The following is a 27,009-nucleotide window of genomic DNA, read 5'->3' as shown; positions in this document are numbered from 1 at the left end:
TCACAGAAGAGGTGTACACCCACTGTGATATTGACAATTTCCTCTCCCCCCCTGGGGATATAAGGAACAATACCACGGGGGGGTGTACACCCCCTGTGATATTGACAGTAATATCATCCTCTCTCCCCCAGATATTAGTAACAATATCACCGAAGGGGTCTACACCCCCTGTGTTATTGACAGTAATATCATCTCCCCCCCCCATATATTAGGAACAATACCATGGGAGGATGTACACCCCCTGTGTCATTGACAGTAATATCAACCTCTCCCCCTCCCGGATATTAGGAAGAATACCACGGGGGGTGCACACCCCCTGTGATATTGGGAGTAATATCACCCACTATCCCCTAAATATTAGGAACAATATCACAAGGCGGGGAGAACACCCTCTGCGATATTGGGAGTAATGTCATCCTTTCCCTGCCCCTGCATACTAGGAATAATATCACAGGGGATGTACACCCCCATGCGCTATTGGGAGTAACATCACCCTTTCTTCCCATGGATATTAGAAACAATACCACAGAAGTGGTGTACACACGCTGCACTGTATAGAACAAAGCAGGCGGAGGAAGGTGGGATAACCTTGCTAGCTGAAGCTTCTGGCTCTCTTTTTTTCTTCTTCCCGTGCAGGAAACTTGCTTCCCTTCTTCCTGCCCTTGGACATGAGACTCCAGGTTCTTATGCGTTTGGACTCTGGGACTTGCACCAGTGGCTTCCCCGAGGCTCTCAGGCCCCCGGCCTCAGACTGAAGACTGCACTGCGGGCTTTCCTGGTTTTGAGGCTTTTGGACTTGGACTGAGCCACTACTAGCTTCTCTCTTTCCCTACCTGGCAGACAGCCTGTTGTGGGACTGCCTTCTAACCGTGTGAACCAATTCTCTCTGGTAAACTCCTTTATACATATACGTGTATCTTGTTGGTTCTGTCCCTCTGGAGAACCCTGACTAATACATTTTGTATATTTTTCCTCCACTGCCCTTTCCTCTGCTTCTAGGCTTACCTAGACCACCACCATTCTTTCCCCCTTTCTAAAGTAAAAGTTGTTTTTTTCTCACTGAATGCATGGTATTCTGCCCATTTTCCATGGCTTCCCTCAGCCCTGCTCTGTTTATTCTTGCTATCTTAAGAGGAAATCCCTGCCTCTTCCATGGCTTTTCCCACTTGGTCTACTTACTGGTTTCTGTTGTTCTCAGAGACACACTGAGACCTTTCACATCTCACTGTCACTTCTTGGAAGGGCTCTCTACCTCGTCTGCCTGCTGAGCAACCTCTTGGAGTGACGCGGGCACTCTTGAGTCACTGAACTTGAGCTATTTGGTGTTAGTATGTTAATTTATCTTCTTAGACCACTTACCACTTCCTTAACTTCAAAAGAAAAGAATAAGTATTATTTTCCATGGTTGATATGAAGAGTAGAAATAACTTATACAAAATACATTGCAGTTAAGTGATAATAAATGTCTGTGAATGCCCTTATTAATGTTATTCTATCAGTCTCAGCTCAGATACCATCTGCTCTGTGAGCTCTGCTCTGAATCATATCTGCTTCTTCTCTGGGTTCCTTGTGCTCTGTTCTTAACTACTTTAAAGCAGTAATTGTTCTGATTCTAATTAATGATCCTTCCCAATAAAATTTTAATTTTGTAGATCTCTTCCCCCCACCCCTGCCCCAGCCTAACCAGTGTTTTCTTACTTTTTTGTGTACAGGCTACATCACTGGTCTTCTTTTATTTGTGGCTAAATAAATGTTGTGTTAGAAGAGTAAAGAGTTCCCAGTTACATGGGATCTATAGTTCTACAAAATGAATGTATACATAATCCATGTAAATCCTTCACTTATTTTAAAACAACTTTTTAATTTTTAAATTAAATTTAATTTGTGCATGTGTGTGAGACCAGAGTGAGAACAGAGATGGCGGCGGTGAGGGGCAGTGGTCTCACCATGTTGCCCAGGCAAGTCTTGAACTCCCCTTCAAGTGCCACCCTCCTCACCTGGCCTCCCTCACCTTGCCTCTTCCCCTCTCACTCCTATGCCAGCTCCTGCCATTCCCCACCCCCTCTGTAGACTGCAAGACTCAACAAGTGACTTGCTGAGCAAACTCTGCTAAGAGATCTGTTTAGGGACACAGGAGGCCAAGTACACAAAAAAGCAAAAGAACTAGCATGCCTTTTTCAATGGATGTCTATTTTACAGGGCTGGCTTCAGATTATTATAGCTTTAAATAAAAGGACCGTTTTGTCATCTCGGCCCATGGCCTACATTATTTCTTTACTGTCCATTGCCCTGGGCGCTTGACTAATAATTTAACAGCAGTTTTTTTTTTTAATTTTAAATCATGATTCATTGCATTGCTGTAAGAGTAATTAGAGGTAAAGTAGGGCTGGAAACTGCCTGTAGTTGGTTACTTACTGAGATCTTAGCATCATTGTCAGGTGAGAGGGTGAAGTTTTAATTAGCGCTAAGTGGGATAGAAATTCAATGCACTGAAACTGCAGTGTCCAATTCAGTAGGTGCTAGCCACCTGTAACTGTTGAGCACTTGGAATCCTGGCTAGTCCTAATTGAGATGTGTTGTGTTAAATACACTGGATTTTGTCGTTGGAGTGGGAAGAACAGTGCAGAATATCTGCTTGACTTTTTTTATATTTATTACATGTTAAAATTATTACTATGATTACTATTTGGGACATACTGAGTTAGGTATATTTAAAATTAATTTCACCTTTTCTTTTAATGGGGCTTACTAGTACATTTAAAATTACATACGTGGCTCACATATTTATTGGACAGCACAGCTCTAGAAGTTTAGGAAGAAATAAGAAAAATATTGAGAATAGGTAGCGACAGTAGGAAGTTTGACCTCCTGTAAGACTGATTCCAATAAAACTAATAGGTGATAGTTTTAATTGGCTTTTTCCTACTAGAAGAAGTAAGTGTACTTTACATGCCTCTTTGTTCTCCCTCTTTCCCCTTCAATTTAGTGGTTAGCGTGTATTTACTACATCAGGCTTAATATTCACTAAACAGTGTTAAGAAGACTTAGGTAAATGATTCCCTGATGAACACACTTGATATTCAAAGCACTTTCCTAACCCATTTTTAATTGGAATAGAGTCAAATGTAGACGGCTTATTAGTAGTCATCTCATTTAAATCTCATGGAATTTTCCTACTAAATCTCAAAGTAAACAATTTGTTATAGGCTGTTTTGTCAAGTGTATGGAAGGGACAGCATAGGACATGTGGTACTTCATTTCCAAATTGCTTGAGATGGTTTTCATTATAATCATACATTATTTGCTTCTGGTTTTCCAGAAAAGCCAGCTAAACCTGTGGTTCATTTAGATATAAATGAAATATCCACAAAGGATTGCTCAAAGTGACTTATGCAACTTGAATATATATTTTTTCTGTAGGGTGTTTATTCCAAATTATCTGGCCATTTGCTGCAATTTGCAGTTTTTTAGAAAACACCAAATATTTCTCAAGTTAGAGATGTTTTAATAAAAACAGTCATATTGTACTGGCAGCAGACAAATAAAATGGCCCTTTATTTCACAGTTGAGAATTTGAAATTGGAAGGTAATTAACATATGTAAGGATGACGTATTTGCTGCCTGGCTTATAGGAATGAGCCAAGTTGTTTTTTGAGGTATGTTGTTGCTGTGTATGTCCCACCTATTTTGCTTCCTTAATGAACAATGCAAGTTTGAGACAGAAATATTTGAGAACATTTTTATCAGTTGTGACATTTTGATAGTGAACATTTTATATCTTCTGTCAACTTAAAATGTTTGCATCTTCTGTCAGCTTAAAATGTTTAATTTGTTATAGCCAAATAATTTGGCTATAATTGATAATTTAATTTATCAAATTAAATTGCTTTTTTCCCTTTAGACTTTCTTCAGTCACATCTGAATAAATCCCTTAGAAGTAAGCTAGATGTAATATAATGAAATGCTTAAAAGGGCTGTGTATCTTCATATTACACTTACAATGATTTTCTCTTGTGCCCATTATATTCTACCTGCAGCTAGTTGAGGTAAAGAGAGGGCATTTAACTGTCAAGGGAACCTGTGAGGAGACTGTAGAAATCTGGAAAGTCTCTTGGGTCTTTGAGGGATTTTGGGATGCAGAGAGTGGGGCTGGGATCTCTGGCTAGGTTGGAGCCAGCGTGCATTTGTATCTTTATCTTGGAAGCAAACTTAGAATGCAGAGATAGATGTGGCCTGGATGCTGCTAACTCTAGCCAACCACTAAATCTTAAGGTGGGAGAGATGGAGCCTTTGGCTGGGTGCTAAGCTGCTGTAGCTGGTTGAATGTAGAGGTCACTATCTTTTCTGAATATTTGTAAGTAAATTAAATCATTCTTTACTCCTGTATGCCTGCCAACCAAATGGGAAATCGCTATAGAAAAGATGGTTTAAATTTTAGTCTTTGAAGTGGTTTATGCACGTTTCTGGAATCAAGATTTAACGCGGACTTGGATTGGATATTGAATATTTTTGATTTGTCTACTTTTCTCTCCATAGGGAGCTTATAGCTTCATTGCACTGTGTGTGGCATTTGGGTCCTGTTTGACAGCAATGACTGCCTTTCTGTTTAGTGTCTGTGTGCTATGAAGATTGCACACAGGGGTCCAGATGCATCCTGTTTTGAGAATGTTAATGGATACACCAGCTGCTGCTTTGGATTTCACCCATTGGTGGTAGTTGACCCGCTGTTTGGAATGCAGACAATTTAAGTGAAGACATATCCATATATGTGGCTCTGTTACAATGGTGAAATCTACAACCATAAGAAGGTAGGGGAAAAGAAGCCAGATGTGTGGATGTGATTAAACTTCAGAGCTTGTTGGTTACGATGACATTATATATTCTGTATCTTGCTTTTTACTTTGCAAAGCATTCTATGTTATCTCATTTGCTCTAAGTATGTAGATAGGGAACTGATGAATAAAATGGTGAGTTAAATCACTTGGTCACAAAAAAGTGATAAAAATGGGGATTACACAGTTTCTTTGACTCTTAGAATTTTTTCTCCTTCTCCCCAGCTTTTTGTTTTGAAAAAAATTCTAACATACAGAAAAGAACAGAATAGTGAGCACCTAGATTGAATAATCATTAATGTTTTGCCATATTTGCTTGATTTTTCTTTCTACACACACACACACACAGTTTTTTGCCAAATCATTTGAGAGTATGGTGCAGATTTTGTGACACTCCTAAATATATAAGCATTTATCTCCTAAGAATAAGGACATTTTTCTACATAACATCAATATCATTATTAAACCTAAGAATCCATAATATCACCTGGCTGGGTGCGGTGGCTCAAGCCTGTAATCCCAGCACTTTGGGAGGCTGAGGTGGGTGGATCACGAGGTCAGGAGGTTGAAACCATGCTGGCTAGCACGGAGAAACCCCATCTCCACTAAAAATACAAAAATAAAAAAATCAGCCAGGCGTGGTGGTGGACACCTGTAGTCCCAGCTACTCGGGAGGCTGAGGCAGGAGAATGGTGTGAACCTGGGAGGTGGAGCTTGCAGTGTGTTAAGCTTCAGCCACTGTACTCCAGCCTGGGAGACAGAGCAAGACTCTGTCTCAAAAAAGAAAAAAAAATCATAATGCTACCTAATATCCAGTTAATACTTAAATTTCGCTAAGTGTCTGGAGAATTTTTTTTTTTTTTTGAGACAGAGTCTCAACTTTGTCACCCAGGCTGGAGTGCAGTGTTGCGATCTCGGCTCACTGCAACCTCTGCCTCCTGGGTTCAAGCGATTCTCCTTCTTCAGCCTCCTGAGTAGCTGGGACGACAGGCCCACCTGTCACCATGCCTGGCTAATTTTTTGTATTTTAGTAAAGACTGGGCCCAGGGTGGTCTGGAACTCCTGAGCTCAGGGAATCTACTCACCTTGGCCCCTCAAAGTGCTACCAAGAATATCTTTATAGCTGGTATTTGTTTGTTTAGAGCCAGATTTCATTCAATATTCATGCATTTGGTTGTGATGTTTCTTGGTATTTTTTCTGAGACTTCTTGATAGATACCTGTCAGGCACTGATAGAGAGTTATATCCTAACCATGTTTTGGACATTTTTATCTCTGAATAATAGCTTTTGTCATTGTTTGTTGCCTGCTCATGGGAACACTCTTAATAATAGTCTTCTTGTTCAAAAAGTTTTAAAATAGTTATTCAAGAAATTCCTTTCCCACATTTCTTTATTCCTTTATTAAGGGCCTAATATGAACCAGACATCATTTTTCTAGGTGATTGTAGATGAAATGGTGAAAAGGAAAGGCAAGAATGGAATTTCCTGCTAGTGGGAAGTAGAAGAGAGTATTAAAACTTTTTTCTTTCTAAGTCAAATCAGTGTCATATGCATGAGAAAGCTAGGTAGTATGATGGCATTATCAGCTTGGCTTTCTCCTTAAATGAAATAGGAAGTGCTCTGTTTTACTCAGATAGTGTTTTTTTTTCTAAAAAGCTAAAATAAGTTAAATATTTTGAAATTAATTAATTTCTGTTCTAAATTAGTCAAAAGTTATATTTGTAAAACTAGAGAAGTTTGTTCCATTGCTTCTACCAAGCATCTCAGCTTATGTAGTTGGGGCAGCTAGAAATCTAATGAACAGAATGCATATTTTAGGCTTATATAAAGTATTCTGCAACATAAGGTCAAAAATACCCCCTACCCCCTTTTTGATAAAAATAAAGCTTACTACTAATAATAAAATACAGCCAGAGGTGTGCTGGGAGTGGAGGGGGGCTGAGTGAAAGAAAGTAGGAATGGGGTAAAGGCTGGGGCAAAGAGCAGACTCTCTCCCTGCAGGGGAGTATCAGGGGTCTGCAGCCAAGTTAAATGACAGCATGACTTCAGGAGGCCAGATTTGAGGGCTTTTATCTAAGATGCAGCATCGGAGTTTGGTTTAAGAGAGTAGGAAGTGATACATTTGTTACTCAAAGGACACTTCTCTTTTTTGAATAAATTACCTGCAGAGTTTAGGCCAAAGAGGTGGGCAAGGTAGATTTGGGAAACTGTTGCTTGCTAATATCACCAAACGCTTTCTTTTTATACTTGGTGGAGGCTTTAATTGGGGCAAGGACATTTTTATACAAAGATAGAGAAAACAATCACCTATGGAATTTGATTCCTTGCTCCATGCCCTCACTAGCACCTCTCAACATGCTTGATGATATTTAAAATTTCTTCATAGGGAAAAAACTTTTCATCCCACAATTAGAATCAGGCTTAACTTGCTTTTTGAAAAGGTAGTATGCAATTTGTGTTAAGATCTAAATTACCAAGATTTTTATATCTTGAAACAGATTTAGATGATAGAGTGAGGTCGGTGGTGGTGGTTGGTGGGAAGGGGTAGTTTTTTAGAGAGGGTATTAAGAGTTGGGCTTTTCAATGTGAGAGAGGTGAAGGTTTGAAAATAAGTAAGAAAAGCACTAAAAGGGTGAAGTCAAGGGCCTCAGAGAGCCAGGATGATAGATTCTATTTCACAGTTTAACACAGGATCACCATAGACCAAAGCAAGTTTATAACTAAGGCAATGAAGATCATCTGTCTCCTCCCTTCCCCATTAATTGTGAACTTTAGTTTTATAAGCTCCTAAGAGGCAGAAAACAAATTGGAGACTCGTCATCTATTTGGGAGTGTATGGCATGTATTTATTGTCCTAGGTGCTGGGTTTATTTTTTTCAGCTAATGACAGTTTTCCATGCTTTATGGTAAGTGACCATAAAGTAAGTGGTAAGTGACTTACCCTTCAGGCAGTTCAGCCCAGGACAGTCAGCAGAAGACTGTTTCCAGATCCCACCTGCTAGTTACAGATCATCCCTGATAGAGCAGAGAGGGGTGACCAGGTAGTGACTTTATAGTCACTGGAGGCAAAACCCATTTTTGGACAGTTCATTGAGGGCTTACAGACAAAAGGTTCACAAATTATGCAGTGAGCTGGATGGAGTGTGAAGTGTATTTATGGGTCGTGCACATACATAATAGGTTTACTTTTTGAGATTTGAAAACATGTTTTAACCTTAACATAGGATTCCCACCTGATTTAAACCTCTTATTTCTCTAATGTCAGACAAAAATGTGAGTATGACATACAAAGAGAAATACATCAAGGACTTTTCATCCTCATAGTTTGCCAGTGATGGTGGAGAGTGTCAGAATTGGGGAGTAGCCTAATCAAACCTTCTTGCTCTGCATGCAGTGGCAGACAGTCCCTTTGCTGTTCCTTTGGGGCATGCAGACTAATAAAGTGCCACCATCATTTTATCTCTCAGTGAGTAGTTTTAATGCTACTGCAGTGGTGGGAGCACTGGGTGTTGTCGTCCACACCTGAGGACAAGCAGCTTTGTTTTGGATCATGTATCTGTTATTGTGATGTAGCCATTTATTTTTCAGGGAATGATGCCAAATGATGTTTGTCCCTTTGCTTTACATTTTTATAGCTAGGTCTTTGAAGCTGAACTGGAGGAACTTCTTAGCCAATACTGTCTTCTCAAACCAAAAGTTGACAGTTGCAGAAGACACATTTTTTAGTGTCATGGCAACCAAGCAACATATTACCTTAAATTAAATTTAGAGGTTGAGCATCCCTAATCTGAAAATCTGAAATTTGAAATGCTTCAAAATCTGAAACTTTTTGAGCACTGACATGACACCACATGTGGATTTTGATGTCCCAGTCGAAGTGCAGGTGTACAACACACAGTTTATTTGATGTTCTCTTGTGAAAAAAGACCCTCTCATCCCCCTTCAGCTGCAGTATAAATTTTCTATACATGCTCAGATTTCCCCAAGCAAGCACACACACAAAGGGTCACAGAATGGCACATGTGCAAGCTGGACACGCCAATGGCAGGATCCCCACAGATGGGACCTAAGTGCATTACCCATTGTGTATTTTTGCTTATTCTCTGCTCTGTGGTGTTAACATACTGAAAATGTCAATAAGGCCTCTAGATATCCCTGCGAGCAGCAATGATAAGGAAAAGTAGAAACTCTTAGAACACAAAAAGTCAAGCTGTTGGAGAAATTGGACTGTAGTGTAAAGGTATAGATGACATGGTGAAAATGTGTGATAGAGATATTGAAGATATTGAAGGACTAGAGCTACCTGCATTCATAACAGAATAAGAGGTCATGTCAGTTTATAAAATTAAAGAGAGACTTCCAAGACAAAAGCCCTTGATAATGAGGCAGATGACTCTGGAGAAACATTATAAAAAGCCATCTGGCAGAATGCCTCCTCAGCCTCAGAGGACTCACCTCCTAGTTGCTCAACTCCTGATATTTCTTCTCACCTAAAAAAAGAAAAAAAATACAATATACAGTAACCTTTTAATCAAAACGCAGCCTTGTAGGTGGAGCCTGAAATCTTGCCATTGTTTATACAGCTGTTTAACAGCTGATGCAGGTATTCTGGTGATGCTACTGTGTTGCTTATTACTTTTTACTGTATTAATGGCATGTCATATTTTTACTTATGTTTGAATAATTGTGTGAAAATGATTGCTCATCAGTAGCATATAAATTCAGAGTCAGAAATGATGGTCAGTGACGTCAAACAGCCACAGATTTTCCACATGGAAGCTGAGATAGTGACACCTTTGCTTTCTGATGGTTCCATGTACACAAACTTTGTTTCATTCACAAAATTATTTGAAATATTATATAAAATTACCTTTAGGCTATGTGTATAAGATATATGAAACATAAGTGAATTTCACGTTTAGACTTGGGTCTCATCCCCAAGATATCTCACGTAGATGCAAATATTATAAAATCCAAAAAAAAATTCCGAAACCCTAAACACTTCTGGTTCCAAACATTTCAGATAAGGGATACTCAATCTGCATATATAAAATATTTATGTATCACATACATAGTATGTATATAATATGAATTTCCATTCCTCTACAGGTTACTATTCTGGTACATTCCCGTTATATTCTGTTTATCAGACTGCAACTAAAACTTTCATGGGTTCAGCTTTATGTTGAACAGAATTTGCAGAATTATGAGTTGAAGCAAACCCTAGTTTGATAATGCTATGATTCTCCTAAATCACCAAAGTGCATGAAATGATTTTAAAGCTCCAGAAATACTGAAGCAACTTTGTGATAAAAAATTATTAGTGGATGCACAAGGAGTCTATAACGTTTTGGGTTTGCTATTGCTTCCTAAGGTGCAGCACCGTTTTGAATTTGAATACCAGACCAAAGTGGATGGTGACATAATCCTTCATCTTTATGACAAAGGAGGAATTGAGCAAACAATTTGTATATTGGATAGTGTGTTTGCATTTGTTTTACTGGATTCTGCCAATAAGAAAGTGTCCCTGGACAGAGATACATAAAGAGTCAGACCTTTGTTTAAAGCAGTGACAGAAGATGGATTTTTGGCTGTGTGTTCAGAAGCTAAAGGTAATAGTAAATTTATGTATAGATTTTCATTATTGTCTTGGTCATGTGTTTTCTTTTAAATTATATCTGAAAATCTCTTAGCAATCTAGAATTTTACAAGTGACTAATTAAGTTGTGAGTTCTTACCTTTTTAAAAAAAACAGAGTGGTTTTACTCTCCTTTTCAGCACTTAAATTCTGTAATCCTTGAAGGATGGGTCTTTAGTGTAGTCATTTATTTTTGGTGTGCTAATATGCTCTGCATATAGCTTGATCGTAAGTGCAGTTTTAAGTTTTCCTGTGTCATACTGTAATGATAGGGTTGGCTCTGCAATTATTGCCCTGCGGTACTTTGCTGAAGTTATAGCACAGCAAATATTAGGATTTCTAAAACAGCTTTATTGGCAGTTCACATGCCATGTAATTCACCCACTCGAAGTATATAGTTCAGTGGTTTTTAGTATATTCACAGATGTTGGGAACCAACACTCCAATCAATTTTAGAATTGTTTTTCCACCTCAAACAAAAATCCTATGCCCTTTAGCTTATTTTCTTTCTATTTATTTATTTATTTATTTATTTATTTATTTATTTATTTATTTTAAGAGATGGGGTCTTGCTCAGTCGAGCAGCCCAGGCTGCAGTACAGTGGTGTAATCATAGCTTAGTGCAGCCTTGAACTCCTGGGCTCAAGCAATCCTCCCATCTCAGCCTCCCTAGTAGCTAGGAGTACAGGCATGGACCACAACACCCTGCCTCCTGTGCCATTTAGCTTTCAATTCTGTCTCTCCACATACATCATCTGCACCCCCGCAGTTGTAGCACTGGCAATCACCAATCTTTCTGCCTCTGGATTCCCTATTGCGTGTGTTTCATATAAATGGGATTATCTATCATATGGGCTTTTGTTACTGGATTCTTTCACTTGGCATAATGCTTGCAAGGTTTGTCTATGCTGTGACATGTATCAGTACTTACTTTTTATGGCCACATGATACTCTGTTACATGGATACACTGGATTTTGTTTATACACTTGTCAGTTGATAGATATTTAGGACATTGTTTTCCCCTTTTGGTTATTATGAATAATGCTGCTATAAACATTGGTGTACAGGTTTTTGTGTAGACATTTCTCTTCGGTGTTTATCTAGGAGCAGAATTGCTTGGATGCATGATAACTGTCTAATTGAGGAACTGCCAAACTACTTTTTGAAATGGCTGCATTATTTTTTTTTCCCTCCATCAGTGTACTAAAATTTCAGTTTCTCCACATCTTCACAAACACTTACTGTGTGACTTTTTAATTGTAGCCATTATAATGTATGTGAAATTGTATCTCCTTGTGGTTTTGATTTGTATTTTCCTATTGAAGGTAATGTCCAGTGTCTTTTCTCATGCTTATTGGCCATGTGTATATCTTCTTTGGGGAAATATTTGTTGAGATCTTTTGTCATTTTTTTCCTGCTAGGGATCATTTTATTTTAAAAACAATAGACTTTTTTTTAGCAGTTTTAGAAAAAATAGAGAGAAAAGTGCAGAGAGTCCACATATGCTCCCCTACAGTGCCCCCGCCCAGTTTTCCTGACTCTTAACACCTTGCGCTACTGTGCTAAATTGATTAGATTTGATGAACTGATACTTATATCTGAAGTTCATAGTTTACTTCAGGGTTCACTCTGTGTTTTATAGATGTTTGGATTTGACAAATGTATAATGTCATGTACCCACCATTACAGTATTATGTAGAACAGTTTCATTGCCCTAAAAATCTCCTGTGCTCCACTGAGTCATTCCTCCCCCTCCTCTTCCTCCCAAACCCCCGGTCATTACTGATCTTTTTACTCTCTAATTTTGCCTCTCCCAGAATGTCATATAATAGATCATGTAGTATGTATCCTTTTCAGACTGGCTTCTTTCACCCAGCAGTATACATTTAGGGTTCTTCTGTGTTTTTTCATGGCTTGATAGCTCATTTTTTAAATTGCAGAATAATATTCCATTTGTTTGCATGTATTGAAGTTTGTTTATCCATTCTTGAATTATCTATCTCTAATTGGGTTGTTTTGTCTTTTTATTACAGAATTGTAATTGTTCCTTATGTATGCCAGACACAAATCCCTTGTGTTCATCAGGGTTGCAGGATTCAAGATCAATATACAAAAATCAATAGTATTTGACACACTTTAACTGAATACTACATACTCACAATGAGCAATCAGAAAATGAAATTAAGAAAGCAACTTTATTTATCATAGCATCAACAAGAATAAAATACTGATACATTTAAGAAGTGTAAAACTTGTACTCTGAAAACTATAAAACATTGTTGAAAGAAATGAAAGAAGATCTAAATAAATGTAAAAGTATCCCATGATCATGGACCTAAGGCTTAACATTGTTAAGAAGGCAGTACTCCCTAAACTCATCTACAGATTTAACTTCATCCCTGTCAGAATCCCAGATGAGTTCTCTGTAAAATCGGCAAGCTGACTCTGAAATTCATATGGAATTGCAAGGGACTAAGAATAGCCAAAATAATCTTTTGAAAATGAGAAACAAAGTAGAAGAACTCATACTTACTGACTTTAAAACTTACTACAAGACAATGGTAATCAGGACAATATAATACTGGCAGAAGGATAGATGTATAGACCAGTGGGATAGAATTGAGAGTCAGATATGAACCCATACATATATAACCACTGCTTTTGACAAGAGTGCCAAGATTATTCAGTGGGGAAAGAAGTTTGAGAACTGGCACAAGGACAACTAGATATGTAAACATATGCAAAACCTGGAGTAGGACCTTTACCCAACACCATATACAAAAACTATGGGTGCAAAGTAATTGGATCAAATGGATCCATTTTGAGCTAATCCACATAAATGTAAGGACTAAAACTATAAAATCCTGAGAAACAAACATAGAAGTAAATTGTCATGACCTTGAATTTGGCAAAGTTTTCTTAAATATGAGACCAGCAACAGGAATAAAAATTGATGAACTAGACTTCATCAAAATTAAACATTTTTGCACTTCAAAGGACACCATCAAGAAAGTGAAAAGACAACTCACAAGATGGAAGAAAATACTTGTAAATCATGTGTAGCACTTTTTGATGATAAACTTGAGGAAGACTTTTTTATTTTTTATTTTTATTATACTTTAAGTTCTAGGGTACATGTGCACAATGTGCAGGTTTGTTGCATATGTATACATGTGCCATGTTGGTGTGCCGCACCCATTATCTCATCATTTACATTAGGTATATCTCCTAATGCTATCCCTCCTCCCTCCCCCCACCCCATGACAGGCCCCGGTGTGTGATGTTCCCCATCCTGTGTCCGAGTGTTCTCATTGTTCAATTTCCACCTATGAGTGAGAACATATGGTGTTTGGTTTTCTGTCCTTGCGATAGTTTGCTCAGAATGATGGTTTCCATATATATATATATATATATATATATATATATATATATATATATAGTCAGTTGCCAGGACTGCTGGGCAAGCCTGGGAAAGAGAGTACCTGGGGAAAGCAGCCTCCTGCTCCCCCGTGCCTTCTTTGAGCCTGATGTTCATTTGATGTGGTACTATATAATCACATCCAGTTTACCCTTTGAAAAATCCTTGATTTTTCTTTTCTATATCCTTGACACTGTCATTTTACAGACCACATAATCTTATCTGGAATACTACAACAGTTTTCTTTTCTCAGTGCTTTTAGAATAACCTGTCAAAAACTCATCTGACTATAGTAGTACCTGCTTACAACCTTTTAATTACTCCCCATTCCCTACCAGGCTGTGTAACTCACTTGAGCTCTGCTAGGTGGTGAGGGAATCTGGGTCCTTTTTCTGGTATTTAAATTCAGTGCTACGTAGGTTACTGGCTGGGTTGAAAATCTCAAATTGTAAATCATGAGTATATATGTAGATAGTCTGTCACGATTTACAATAAAACATTGACATGTCAGAGATCATGGTGATGTGAGGTTGGGTACTGTCTGTGAGAATTAATTGAGGAAATTTAAATTATATGGTTTTATTTACATAGAGTGTATAACAACTAGTTAAGGGATAGATGTCTTCTTATCTGACTTTCAAGTATCTAAGAGTGGATTATTGTGCTTGTTAAAGTTCTGGGAACCATGGATATTTTCTGAAAATACCTCAGTGATGACAAATGAATGACTACCAGCCTCTCATAACATTAGGACTCCAGTTCATCCCTTTGCTTCATAAGTGTGTCTTTTCCTTTTGTATATATTTGCTTTAGTGTAGAAAATAGGTTTTCTTGATTAGAAATCTAAAAAGAATAAATTGAAAACTGGAGATTTTTCTATTGCTTTGGATTACCAAAATTAATGTAATTTGGCAGTATATCCCTGTGCCATTATTGTCTCTCTGGTAAGTAGATGGTAGGGTTTTGGGTGATTAAATTTTTTTTTCCTATTTTGCTTATTTAATGGGCATGTGTTTGTATTAAAAAGGGGAAAATACATAGGAATGTAGAAGATGTTAACTAATCGTGAAAGTTATTGGGAAGGGTTACCTAATTTAAAAGTTGGCCAGCCATGGCAACACTGCCTGTAGTCCCAGCTGTGGGGGAGGCTGAGGCAAGAGGATGGCTTGAGTTTAGAGGATGGAGGTTACAGTGAGCTATGATTGTGCCACTGTACTTCAGCCTGAGGGACAGAGCCAGACCCTGTCTCAGAAAAACCTAGAACAACAACAAACAGAGAGAGGAGCCTGGACGGACTGAGCAATATTAGTGTCCAGGAGCTGCTGTAGTGATGGCTTACAACATCAGGAATTTATTCTCTCACCGTTCTGGAGGCCACAAGTCCAAAATCAAGGTGTGGGCAGAAATGCACTCCCTCTGCAGACTCTTGGGGAGGATTCTTGTTTCTTCCAGCTCTGCGACTGTGGTGCCTGCAGCCATTGGAACCAGCTCTGCACGGCTCAGACCTGGGTGATGAGGACACAGCTTTGCAGGTGGGCAGCCACATCCCTAAGGGGAGACTGTGGGCCTGTGGCAGGGTAGGGGCAAGCAGGGCAGGGGCTCCCCATTGTTGCCCCTGAGCTCCTGGGGCTTGTGGAGAAAGACAGGTGGATGCACACATACTGCAGCTCCCTGGATCTGAGCCTTGGTTTCCCTACCTGTGAAATGGGCACCCAAGGCAGCTCAGAAGTGTCTGGGAGCATCCCCTGTGGGGGAAGGTGTGGGGGGCTGCTGGGCCACAGTCATGGGGAACCCCAGTCCCCCTCTCCATGTGCTTCCTTCAATGCTCCCTGATGCCAGAAGACCTGCCCCTGAACAGAGAGGGGCATTCTTGTGAGTTCCTTGTGTGGGGGTTTGGTCACAGAGACTCCCCAAGTGCAGGGCAGGGTGGAGGGAGGCTAAAGGGTGGTTGAATGGACAGGAGAAGAGCTCTCTCCAGTCCCTCGGGTCTGGGTGGCCTGGGGAGCATCCATTTGGGCAGGCAGCTGGCGTGGCTGGTGGCTGAGCCACTGTGGCTCGGGGACTCCAGGTGTCTCCTGGACAGAAAGAGCCCTGGTCACTCATGGCTGCAGCATAGCCATGGCGACAGGAAAGTGCTGCTGTACATTGTGCTCCTGGGGCTGGCTCCCAATGGACACCCAATGGCATCTCCCCCACTGTACTCTGGGATGCTGGCAGGGGTGATGGGCACTGGGGTAAGAGCCTTGGCAAGCCCTTCGCTCCCTGGGTGTGAGACCTTGGGCTCCTGGATGCCTGGGTTTCTGTGTCCTATTTTTCCCATGGAAGATGTTTGGGGTGCTCCCACGAAATGGGGAGGGCCCTGGGGGGTCAGGATTGTATTATTAAAGCCAGAAAGTCTGGGGTTCCATTTTTAGCACAAGGCAGGCAGCCCATGAGCCACAGCCCAGTGGCCAGCCTGTGTGGGAGGGGAGTGGGGGTCTGAAGGAGTGAGGATCCTGTTACCGCAGGCTCCACTGCAGCCCCCCAGGGTGGCCGTGTGGGCTGGACAGTGGGCACTGCACCAGGGGCTCTGGTGCCGACCTTGAGCCATGCATCTGATGCCTGTGAGAGTGATCTCTAGGAGCCACTGCACAGGGGGCAGATGAGGGAACCCAGACATGAGACAGCTGAGGGCGACCCCAACACGGAGGGGGCAGCTGTGTCCAGGCTCCACTGGATTCCGCAGAGGACAGAACACAGCTCTGACTCTAGGATGTGGGCTCACTGAGGGTCAGGACAGGCTGGGGTTGGGAGAGGGCTATGCTGCAGCTGGGCCACATCCCACCTGCACCCCTCAGATGGCAGGGCCTGGACGTCCCCATCCCCACCCTGACCCGGTCAGTAACAGCCACAGGCCAGCAGCCCCCAGCAACCGCTCCCTCCCTGAACTGCCGGGGACAGGAGGTACCATAGTCTCTTCTAGGCGAGAGCTGCTGGAGCCTTCTTTATTCTTGTGCTAGAAGCCCAGGGTGGGGAGAGGAGCCTGAGAACAGCCCAGTGTGGGCATCCACCTTCCTGCCCACTTTGGAGGTCTGAATCACCTCCGGCCACTCTCCCAATCCCCAGGAGCCAAGAGGCTTCCTGGAGCAAGCCGCACCTGATCTCCACCATGGGTAGGAGTTCAAGGCCAGGTCAACGGGGACTCCACAGAGGGGCCTGTGGGTTAGCAGCAGCTGCCAGTGTCCAGATGGCCTCAGGGGTGGGGGTTGGACAATCTGGAGGTCAGCAGGGAATTCAGCATGAGGAGACAGCCCTTAGGGTTCTGGCCCAGCAGCCCCAGGTGCTGGCTCTGCACTGAGTCATGAAGTTTGTGGGCCAGGGGCGTTGGCCTCTCTCTAGCTGGAAGTGACTTCCATCACTGCTGTCATTAGCCTCCCCTGCATCAACCTGTCCCTGGGGTGGGAGCACAGTGGGCACAGGGACCGTCAAGCCTCAGTTTTCCCTGCTGTAAAATGCATGTGATAGTGAGGCGGTCATGAGGCCTGAAGGAGTTAAAACCTGCCTTGTGATCAGGATGGCACCTAGCTCGGTGCCTCCTAGCCTGGTGCCACCATCCGGCATCAGAGATGAAATACGTCTCCCAGGCCCCCTCCCCTGGCATCCTCCACACTCAGCTCTCCATCAGCCACACCCTCCAGGGTGGGACAAGGAGGTCCTGAGACTGATGGGGACCCGACAGGGCTGGGCAGCACCACCTGGGCCTAGGCGATAATGGGAGCCTGAGTGTGGGGCCTGCAGGGAGGGAGCCATTGTTTCTTGGGCTTCTTAGTGGCTACTTCCCTAAAGTCTGGGAGAAGCACTGCTGCTCAAGAGGGGACAGTGCCAGCAGCTCCCTCTGAGGCTGGGGTGGGCACAGCATAGGGTGTCCTCACCCCCACCCACCTCCCATGGAGGTTCCTGGCTCTCTTGGAGGACTCCTCGCTACTGTGCTGAGGCTGGCACCAGGGCTGACCAGGCCCAGGATGGTGTTGGACCACCTGCATCCCCCTGCAGCAGGCAGGGAGGGCACTGCAGACACCACCCTCCCACAGCTGACCCCTCCCTGGCCATTGTGTCTAGGGTGGCAGGGTGTGAAGCCCCCACCCAACAACCTCCCTCAGCTCAGGGGCCTTTGTGTTCACCACCATCTGCCTCACTGCAGGTTTTCCCTGTGCTGGGTGGGGGTGATTGCAGGGAGATGGTTCTTTGGTATTCCCTGGGCAGGTCATTGCCTCAGCCCCTGCCTGGTGTCCTGGAACAGCTTTGAGGAGCTACATGGACAGGACACCAACTGTCTGCAGCCCCCAGGTGAGGCTTGGCTGCTGTGTCCCACTGCCTCTGCTCCTGGCTGTCAAAACCCCATGGTAACAGCATCCAGGGCGAATTTAAATGGCACCCCAAAGAATAAGAGTGGGCCTGGGTGTCACTGTAGTGACTGGTGGCTTGTGACAAGTAGTGTGGCTTCCGTGGTGATGGGAAATGACAGTTCCCCCTGAATCTGCACTGGAGAGAAGGTCCTGGAAGCTTTCGGGCCCACCCTCCAGGGTCTGGGTCTGCATCTCTGAGAGTGGCTGGGTGGGAAGAAGAATCCTCACTGCCTGGCAGTCGGGTTTGGAGCTGGGGAGGGCCGGGCCTGGTTAGCAACGAGCCTATCACAGTGAACCAGAGCTCAAGATAAAGCGAGAGGCCTAGCCCAGACACCTCCTTCCCTGGTCCCAGCCCCTGTGCCTTGGCCTGTGCGGTGGAAGCCAGGCTCCCTCCTCCAGGAAGTCTTCCCTGCACTGCCTGCTCACACACAGCCTCTCCCAGATTTCTCCCCATCCAGGCTGAGTAGGTTTCCCAAGAAGGCTCCTCCCCGAGCCAACTGCCTGCAGTCAACATTATCACCTCCCCCAGTGAACGGCAGTAGTGTTTTTCGTCTTCAGCAGTGGCCTCTGGAGGGGTCCTAGCAGGTCGGGGAGAGAGGTCTGAGTTAGCCCCACGTGAAAGGCAGCCCATGCCTCTTCTCCCAGCAACCCCCAGCAGCAATTTCCACCTGGCTGACCCCACCCAGCTCACAGAGCTGCCCAGCTGGTTGTCCTCGTGGTTGATTGGGGGGAAGGGGCTGTTACCTCCCGGTCCCCTCCAGGCTGAGACAAGAGCCCTGTGGGCCTGGATCTTGCAGATGGGACCCCCACCCACAGGCTCTCCAGGTGGATGCCCACCCTGGGCTGTTCTCAGGCCCCTCTCCCCACACTGGGCCCACACCCAGAAGGGAACTCCATGTACCCCTGCCGATCTGCCCATCTGCCCATCTGAGCCTCAGGGGTCCTGGGCACTGAGAGCTGGGCTGGGCTGAGCTCAGGTATACACTGTCATTGGGGACAGAGAGGGGATGCTGAAGTGGGTGCTTCTGCGTGGGGCCTGCCTGGAGGATCGCCACAGCAGGTGCACCCAGCAGCCAGACCAGCTTCTAGCAGAATAAGCGCACTGTCACAGGGGTATGTGAGCTGAGGCTGGGGGCCTGGAGGTGCAGGGGGAGGAGTTGGGGAGATGCAGAGGCCGCAAAGATGTCCCAAGGCCCTAAGACTCTGGTGAGGGAATGGAGGAGCCAGCACTGGTGGGGAAGTGAGGAGGGGGAGCTGGGTGGCCTGGCTCTGAGCGGGACACACGGTCTGCGCCCACACTTGAGCTGTGCTGTGGAGCCCCAGTCCCCACCTGGGCATGTCCTGTCCTCTGAAGCACAGGGATTCCTCATCCTCAGCTCTGACCCCTCATCTCCAACTGTTGGGATGATGAGTCCATAGGCAGAGCCAGCCTCACAGGGGACCCAAAGGCCAGTTCAGATGGACAGCAACTGGAGGTCCCACCGGGCACACACACACACTGTGCAGAAAGCTAATGCACTGTTTATTTGGGGGATTGGGGGGAAGCACCGTGCCGCTGCTCACTGGTAGCCAGCCAGCTGCAGGATGGTGGGGTAGCAAGTACGATGGGCCATGCACTTCTGGCGGTCGATGAAGAGACTGTTGGTCATGGCGGTAACGTCCTTCTCCAGGCTCATGTGGATGTCCTCGAGGTTGCAAAGGGACTGCTCCCCTTCTAGAAGCTTCTCCCGCAGCGCTGTGATGGACATGTTCAGCTCCTCCACCTCACTCACCAGCTTGGGGATGTTGGGGGGTGTGAGCTGGGGCTGGGGAGGGCAGAAGTATGCACCTACTGGGGTGCAGGGGACCCAAAACTCCCAATGGGAGCTGGCAGGAGGTCCTGGGAAGACGCCATGAAAGGATCCCACCAGGAAAGCGGCTCTAGGGCAGAGCATAAATTACGAGGGTCCTCCCAGGGAGCACGGTCCTGAGTGGGAATGAGTGACCTGCGTGCAATCTCGACCCTGGCAGAACAGGACTGGCCTCAGCCGACAAGGCTCAGTTCTTTCCATTCCTGATATTTGACGGAAGGAGGCACCCAGTTCCTTGAAGGAACTGAGGGGCAGGAAAGGAAGAAAGGTACTTAGGCTCAGAAGGGGCCACCAGGCATCCATTAACAAGGGAAACAAAAGGACGGCCCATCTATGCCTATAGCCCAGGCGTAGGTCATACTTTCCACCAGAGGTGGGGACAGCACCCTCAGGGCAGCAGGGAATGGCCCTCCCTGGCCTCTCTGGCCCCGTGGCCTCCAGGAGCTCACCTTGTCTGAAGGAGCTTCTTCCCGGGAAGACGAGGTAGCACAGGGTGGGGTGAGACCACGTGGGCACAGGTCCCTGGCACTGAGAGGCACCCGACCCATGACCTGCCCAGTGTCATGTCTATATCATCTGTGTGTTTAAGGTGTGCTTGCATGTTGCGTGTGGCCGCAAAGTCTCCCTCCCCTCTCAGCACCTGCGGGGGATGTGTGTGTGGAGATTGGAGTGTTTACTGGAAAGGGTCACAGCGAGGAGGTGGACGGGGGCAAGTGGGACTGCCTCAGAGGCCCAGGCAGCACCTGAACTGGGCTGCATTGCCACACAGCTCCATGTTGGGCCAGTGCAAGCGCAGGTACAGAAGGGTCTGGGCTATGTGCAGAGGTGCCTCCTTGTCCTTGATGGCCTCCTTCAGTGCCGCCACGTTGTTTCTGATCTGTGATTTCCCGCAGCATCTACAGACAGGACAGTGCCCCTTAGGCCTGTGCCCCCATGCCCGGGCATATCGAATGCGGAGACCAGGCTGGTCCTACCCAGGTCCTGGGGCTGTGTCCAGAGGGTGGTCCTGACCAGTGGCCCTGGGGAGGCGTGGATGAGGGGAACAATGTGCACGGGGCCCCCAGTGGGCTCTGGAGAGTCAGGCAGCCTGTTTTATCTTAGCTCTGGTCCAAGAACCCCCATCCTTGGTGGTCACCAGGACCCAAATCCTGCTCAAGGACTGGGGACTCAGAGGTGGTAAAGGCCATGCTGAGGCCCTAGAGTCAGAGCCCTGCCTGCCAGGCCAGGACTCTTGGGGACCTCCCGGTCGGTCAATGCTCCCGAGACCACCTCCTGCCTCCATCCTCCCCACAGCTCCTCCAGCTCAGTCATGGGGGTTGCAACACCCTGTGATCATACCCAGTGTCACCTGGTTTTACATAGGTTTACGGAGAGGTGACACTTGCTTCTGGGGTCCTTCGGGATAAGTGGGACAGAGGAGAAAGGTATTGAGGGCCCAGGCCATGTGATGAGAGGGGGCAGAGTGGTGGGCAGGAGTGGGAGCCATCTTCGGGGTTCAGGGTGCCCCACCTTGTGCAGGTGGTGCTGCAGCTTGTGCCGCGTGTCCTCCAGCTCCTCACAGCGGCGCCCGAAGGCCAGGTTCACAGCGTCACACTGGAGTCCCAGGTCCTCGGAGGTGTCGCGAAAGATGCAGTCCACCAGCACCCACAGGTTGGCCGAGTCCAGGTGCTCGCGCTGGGAGCGGCACAGATTGTCCTGCGTGAACTTGGTCCAGGTCTCCGGGGTGGAGGCGCTGCGGGGCAGGAGACAGCCAGGAGAGGGTCAGGGAGGCTCTGCCAAAGGCTGGGGGCCCTGCCGCGCCCCCATTCCCTGTCTGCACCCCATGCTCCTGGAGGAACTGCATGGACTCCAATGCACCCCGTGCAGACCCACGAAGCCCAGTCCCCCAAGCTCCCTGCCTCCGAGTGCCCCCCGCCCACAACTCCCCTGAGTCCACCCACACCCTACCCACCCCGGGCACTTAGTCCCCTCCTGCCCCCGCGACCCCGTTCCCAGCACCGCTGCCCCCGAGGCCCCCTCTGCAGCACCTCCGTCCCCCGCAGCCCCCCTTCCCTAGTACCCAGCGCCCGCGTCCGCTTCTCGCACCCAGGAGTTTGCCACGCTCAAGTGGGCGGTGGTCGCGCTCCCTCTGCTGGCCTTGGGTGGAAATGCAATCCTGCCGGCGCCTGGGCCTGACCCCACCCCACCCTGTCCTGTCTACAGGCAACCAGGCTGTGCACGCGCTGGGCACTTGAGGAGGTCTTGCTCGCTTACTCATGCCAGGGGCAGACAGTTGCCCAAGTGTCCTCGGGGGCGAGGGCCTCCGGGTCAGGCTGGGGGAAGCAGCGCCGCTGGGGCCCCCAGGCAGAGGGAGGCGAGACCACAGCCAGGGCAAGTGTGGGGGCAGAGCTGGGGCCCCCCTCTCTTGGAAGGTGGTGGAGTGCCGGATGAGCCTGCACCTCGGTGCTCTGGCTGTGGTGGCGCCCGCAGGTCTCGTCGAGGTTGTAGGCCTCCACCTTGTCCGACCAGTCCATCTCGCAGATCTCCGTGTGCTCCCGGTTCAGTCTGGGGCGGGGTGGGGCAGGGCCTTGGTGTGTGGCCGGGGAGGGCACCGCTGGGGATCCTCCATGCTGCAGGCTAGGCCTTCATGCCTGCTTCAGGAGGGAGCTGTGGGCCGGCTGTCCTCGTGCTCAGCAGTGACCAAGAGCTGCCGCCCATGCTGGGAGGCTGCAGATCAGATATGGCACTGGGCTTTGGTCACTCAAACTCAGGCTGGGCCAGAACCTCCCCCACCCAGCCCTGTGCTCCCACTGTGACCTGGGGCAGCCCCTGCCGGCTCTGAGCTTCAGGGTCCTGTCGTTCAATGCCTTGCCCCAGGACCAGCCGTGGGTGGGGTCAGGAGTCATCCCTTGGGCAGCCCTCGACCCACCGGATCTGGCTCACTGCTTGCACGATGGCTCTCTTCAGCAGCTCCTGAATGTTCCGGATGAGCTCAGCTTCCTGAGGGAGAAGACGCCCTGAGCACTAGAGCCGGTCCTTGGTAAGGATCCCAGGAGGCCCAGCTGCTGCAGGCCTTGGTCTACACCTGAGCAACCAGAAGGAGTTGAATGCCGGGCCTGAGCTCTGACTGTGCAAGTTCTGCTCTCTCACTGGGTTTATCTTGGGCTTTTGTGCATTCTCCTTGGTGCGTTGTAAGTGGGGTGTTTTCCTCCAGGGCCTTCTATGGGCTGCTGGGAAGGTCCCTCAGCGTCAGTTCCCACACCCCAGGCTTCAAGAGTCATCACTGCTGCTCACTCAGTGCACCCAGGAACGTTGGCCTGCCCCTGGCCTCTGGACAGCCCCTGAGGACCCAAACTCTGGGGGCCAAGATGCCCGCCCAGGCTGCCCCTCAGGGCTCTGTGTTGGGAAAGGCCATCCTCACACCAAGAACAGGAGGAAGACCCTGTGTTTCTTCTTACTGCCTGGCCAGTTTAATTTTCTGTGTGTAGGAACAAGCCTTTTTTCCATGTGATTGGGGTCTTTGCCTTGACCACCAGCTACCTTCTTGTGTGCCAGGGCCCGAGTCCTGCACCCTTCTGTCCCTGGGTTTGCCTCTTCCTGCACTGTCAGTGTCTCCATCACTTGGCAGGGGCCCTTGTTGCGGGCAGAGGGTTTGCGAGAGCTGAAGCAGTTATTGAGGCACTGAGAGGGTGCAGGGGGATGGGCCTGCAGAAGGGGAAGGGAGGGAGGAGGGAAGGCATGAGGGGAGGGAGGAACTCAAGGGTTATTGCCTGAGCTTGGGGGTATGGCAGGAGACCAGCTGCCCCCACCCCACATCTTTCACAAATGTCTACAGGCCTGTAGTGGTTCTCACGGAGGTCCCAGGCTCTGAGAGCTCAGGGAATTCTCCAGAGCCTGCATCAGGGCCAGGACTGAGTTACTCTCTCACCCTATGTGGTTGCCCCATAGACAAGCTGGGCTGGATTGGGAAGTTACAGGTGACATGGAGAAGGGGACCTGTGGGTGCAGATCTTCGTGTTCCCAGCTCTGTATAGGATGAATGGGAGCAGTGGCTCTCAGCCCACCCCACCCTACCTGTCCACACCCGCAGTGCTGGCCCAGACCTAGGTTTCCACCTCAGGAGCAACTGTCCCAACCAGGGAGCATCTCTGGGGAGCCCAGGGTCAGGATGACTGTGCCAGGACTCAAAGGGATTGGAGGAGGAGATGAGAAACAGGTGCTTAGAAGTCAGGGGCCTTCTGGGGCAAAACTGCCTCCTGTCACTAAGGGGCCAGATTTCGGGACTCAGGGGTCTCACGCACAGAGGGCTGGTCTCCTGTGTGCTTGCAGCAGCCACGTGGCTTGTCCACATGAACTGCCGGGGGCTCCTCCTCTCTGCACCCACAAATCCTGGCCACCCACGGCTGCTGGCACCTTCAGCAGCTCCGTCTCCACATGGTCGCGCATGAGGTTAGCGTTCTGGTGGCCCTGGCTGCACTGCAGGTTGTCAGTGGCGATGGAGAAGGGCGCCTCCGTGGCATCCAGGGCGTGCTCCAGGCGTTGCTTCTGGGCCAGCAGCAGGTCGGTCTCCGCAGCCAGCGCCTCCACCTCACGCTGCAGCTCTGACTTCCAGCTGTGCGTGTCCTGCAGTTGCTCGCCCACCCTGCGCGTGGAGTCTTGCTGCGTCCCCTGCGCCAGCGCCTGGGTCTCTGCGGCCAGCTGCTGGCTTTCATGCCCCTGCAGCTCCTGCTCTGACTGGTTGCAGTTGGCGAAGGCCTGGTGGTAGCGAGCATAGCAGTTCTGGAACCACACCTCCAGCCGGCGGTGGCCAGGCCGGAGGACATGTAGGTGCCCGTGTTGCGGGCCACATCATACTCTTTGCAGGGCAGCTCGCAGGGCGGCATTGTCTGTGGGACCGGCTCTGGTAGGAGCATATCCGTCTGCACCATGGTGTCTTCCGCCCACCAGGGCCAGGGGAGTGAGGAGTGTGTGTGGTCAGCTTGTTGCGGTCAGCCCAGTGCAGTCATTGGTCGGCTCCAACGGCTCAGTCCCAGAGCAGGACGCGGCTCCCAGTTGCTTGGGTGACCCAGTAAACCAAGAGCTTCCTGTTGCCAAGAAACGGGATCTCTTCTCCAGTGGCTAGGGGAGGGGGCATTCAGGGCGGCAGGCAGAATTGCCCTCTTAAAGGGCCAGGCAGCCCCAGCCCCACCATCCCTGTCCCTGCCTCAGGGCAATCAACAGTGGCCAAGGGTTCCTGTCACTTAGAGGATCCCAGGGCCAGCCCGTCTCCAGCCTCTGTGTCCCACCCTTAGGGTTCAGGGTGTGGGTGGGGACCTACTGCCCTGGCCTCTTCGTTGATTCATCCATTTGTTCCTGGTTTGCTCTCTGATCCTGTCCTGTGTGGAGCTCCTTGCTCAGGGTGAACAAGACAGAGGAGGCTCTGCCCACCTGCCCCCTCAGGGCAGAGGGCTGTGGCTGTTGTGTGGATGTTGGGTGTGCTGAGTGATACTGTTACTTGATGCTGTACAGGTGGCTGCTCTCCCTGCCCTCCTGGCCCCAACAGCAGCCTGGTAGCACAGGGAGGGTCCCAGGCCAGGCCCCCTCAGGGGCAGTCTGAGGCAGTTCCTGCAGGGACTCTGCTCCATTTTCTCCTGGACCTAGTGCCTGAGAGCCAGGCCCTGGCCTCTGGCCTTCTCCTCCCAAGTCCCAGCCAGGGTCCCCTCAGGCTGGGCACAGTGGGGAGGGAGGGAGTCTGAGTGTGCTTTTCCCTGGGGAGTTGAATTCAGCTTCTGGGTAAGTGTCCAGAGTCAGATGCCCAAATCTGCCCCACAGGGCGGAGGCAGGTCCTGTGCTGCGGAGGCTGCCCTGAAAGCCACCCAGGGCCATGCTGCCTGGCAGAGGCTGGATGGGCAGGAAGCGCCCCAGGACACATCGGAGTCCCCCAAACCTGGGGCCAGGGGAGCCCCAGGCTAGGCACGATTCCCCACGCAGCCAGCGGAGGGTGGCTTTGGTCTGGCGGTGAGAAGCCTGCGGCTCCTGGCTCGGCCTCCCCTCTGCCTGCCTGGTGCATGCACTCCTGGGGACCCCAGCCCCTCCGGCCTCCTCTTCCCTGAGAACCCCGCACCAGAAAGTCCTCGCTAGGAAGTCCATGTCCTTCCTACAGCACAGGCCCCTGGGCCCCTGTTCCTTCCACCTTCACCTCCTCTCCCACCACAGCCCGCACCCTCACTCCAGCCACAGGAGCCAGGGCTCCTCCTGGGCCATTCCCACCACCCCGCCCAGGTCTCTCCAGCACCACCATGTGCCGGCCAGTGCCCTCCTCCTGGACCTGACCTCCCCCGGTCCTGACCTCTCCCGCGGCCAGAACCCTCAGTCCATGCTGCTGTCACCACGGTGCGCCTGGCCTGACACAGCCTCCTGATGGGGCTTTGAGAACAGCAGCCGGGAGACTTATCCCAACCCAGGCCAAGCCAGAACCTATTGCAGGTGGCCTGGGAACCTCTTCTCACTGTCCGTCAAGAATGGGAGGTCAGCGGACCTTCAGGGACTGGTGTGGTCTGAGAAACATCCTTGAGCCTCGCCATGACTCAGTTTCCCCAGATGGCAGCAGGCTGGAGCCCACGCAGGGCAGGATGCCAGGCTCCACCTTTTGTCTGGAACCTGTATTCACTGGGCACCTCTCTGTAGGCATAGCAGAGCAGAGCTGCTTGTTTCTGTCCCTGATCTGCAGCCCCAGGAGCCCGAGAGACCAGCTAAGCCAAGGAGAAGGCCTCTGGGCCAGAGCCCAGCTCTGCGAAGTGGGAGACCTCTCAGCCTCCACTTCCAGGTGCCCTGAAGTCGTTGGCAGGGGGTGCTGCCTACTTGGGGCTCCCAGACTAAGGGAACACATTCACCTGGTGACCACAATAGGCCCTGCAGGCTGAGGC

General features: G+C 48.3%; 1 protein-coding gene, 1 long non-coding RNA gene and 1 pseudogene across 5 annotated transcripts; 1 reads left to right on the top strand and 2 right to left on the bottom strand.

Annotated features, from left to right (window-relative positions):
• Positions 1-578: 578 nt before the first annotated feature.
• On the top strand, positions 579-23,784 carry LOC102723393 (uncharacterized). 4 transcript variants are annotated; one of them, XR_001756168.1, is made up of 5 exons: positions 579-889; positions 4,611-4,808; positions 10,208-10,445; positions 15,343-15,422; positions 23,072-23,784. It is a non-coding gene; the product is annotated as an uncharacterized LOC102723393 (long non-coding RNA). The 4 variants fall into 4 exon arrangements; XR_001756166.1 differs by having other exon boundaries at positions 4,537-4,808; positions 23,075-23,784; XR_001756165.1 differs by having other exon boundaries at positions 4,537-4,808.
• LOC105379554 (maFF-interacting protein) lies at positions 19,781-20,252 on the bottom strand. The gene has a single exon (XM_011546267.2). It carries the CDS (start codon positions 20,207-20,209, stop codon positions 19,835-19,837), a length of 375 nt encoding a protein of 124 aa, XP_011544569.1. The 5' UTR covers positions 20,210-20,252; the 3' UTR covers positions 19,781-19,834.
• On the bottom strand, positions 19,781-27,009 carry LOC102723408 (tektin-4-like; annotated as a pseudogene).

The sequence above is a fragment of the Homo sapiens genome, unplaced genomic scaffold, assembly GCF_000001405.40.
Source record: "Homo sapiens unplaced genomic scaffold, GRCh38.p14 Primary Assembly HSCHRUN_RANDOM_CTG21".
In the NCBI taxonomy this organism is placed as follows: Eukaryota; Metazoa; Chordata; class Mammalia; order Primates; family Hominidae; genus Homo; species Homo sapiens.
This window is presented reverse-complemented; position numbering and strand designations above follow the sequence as displayed.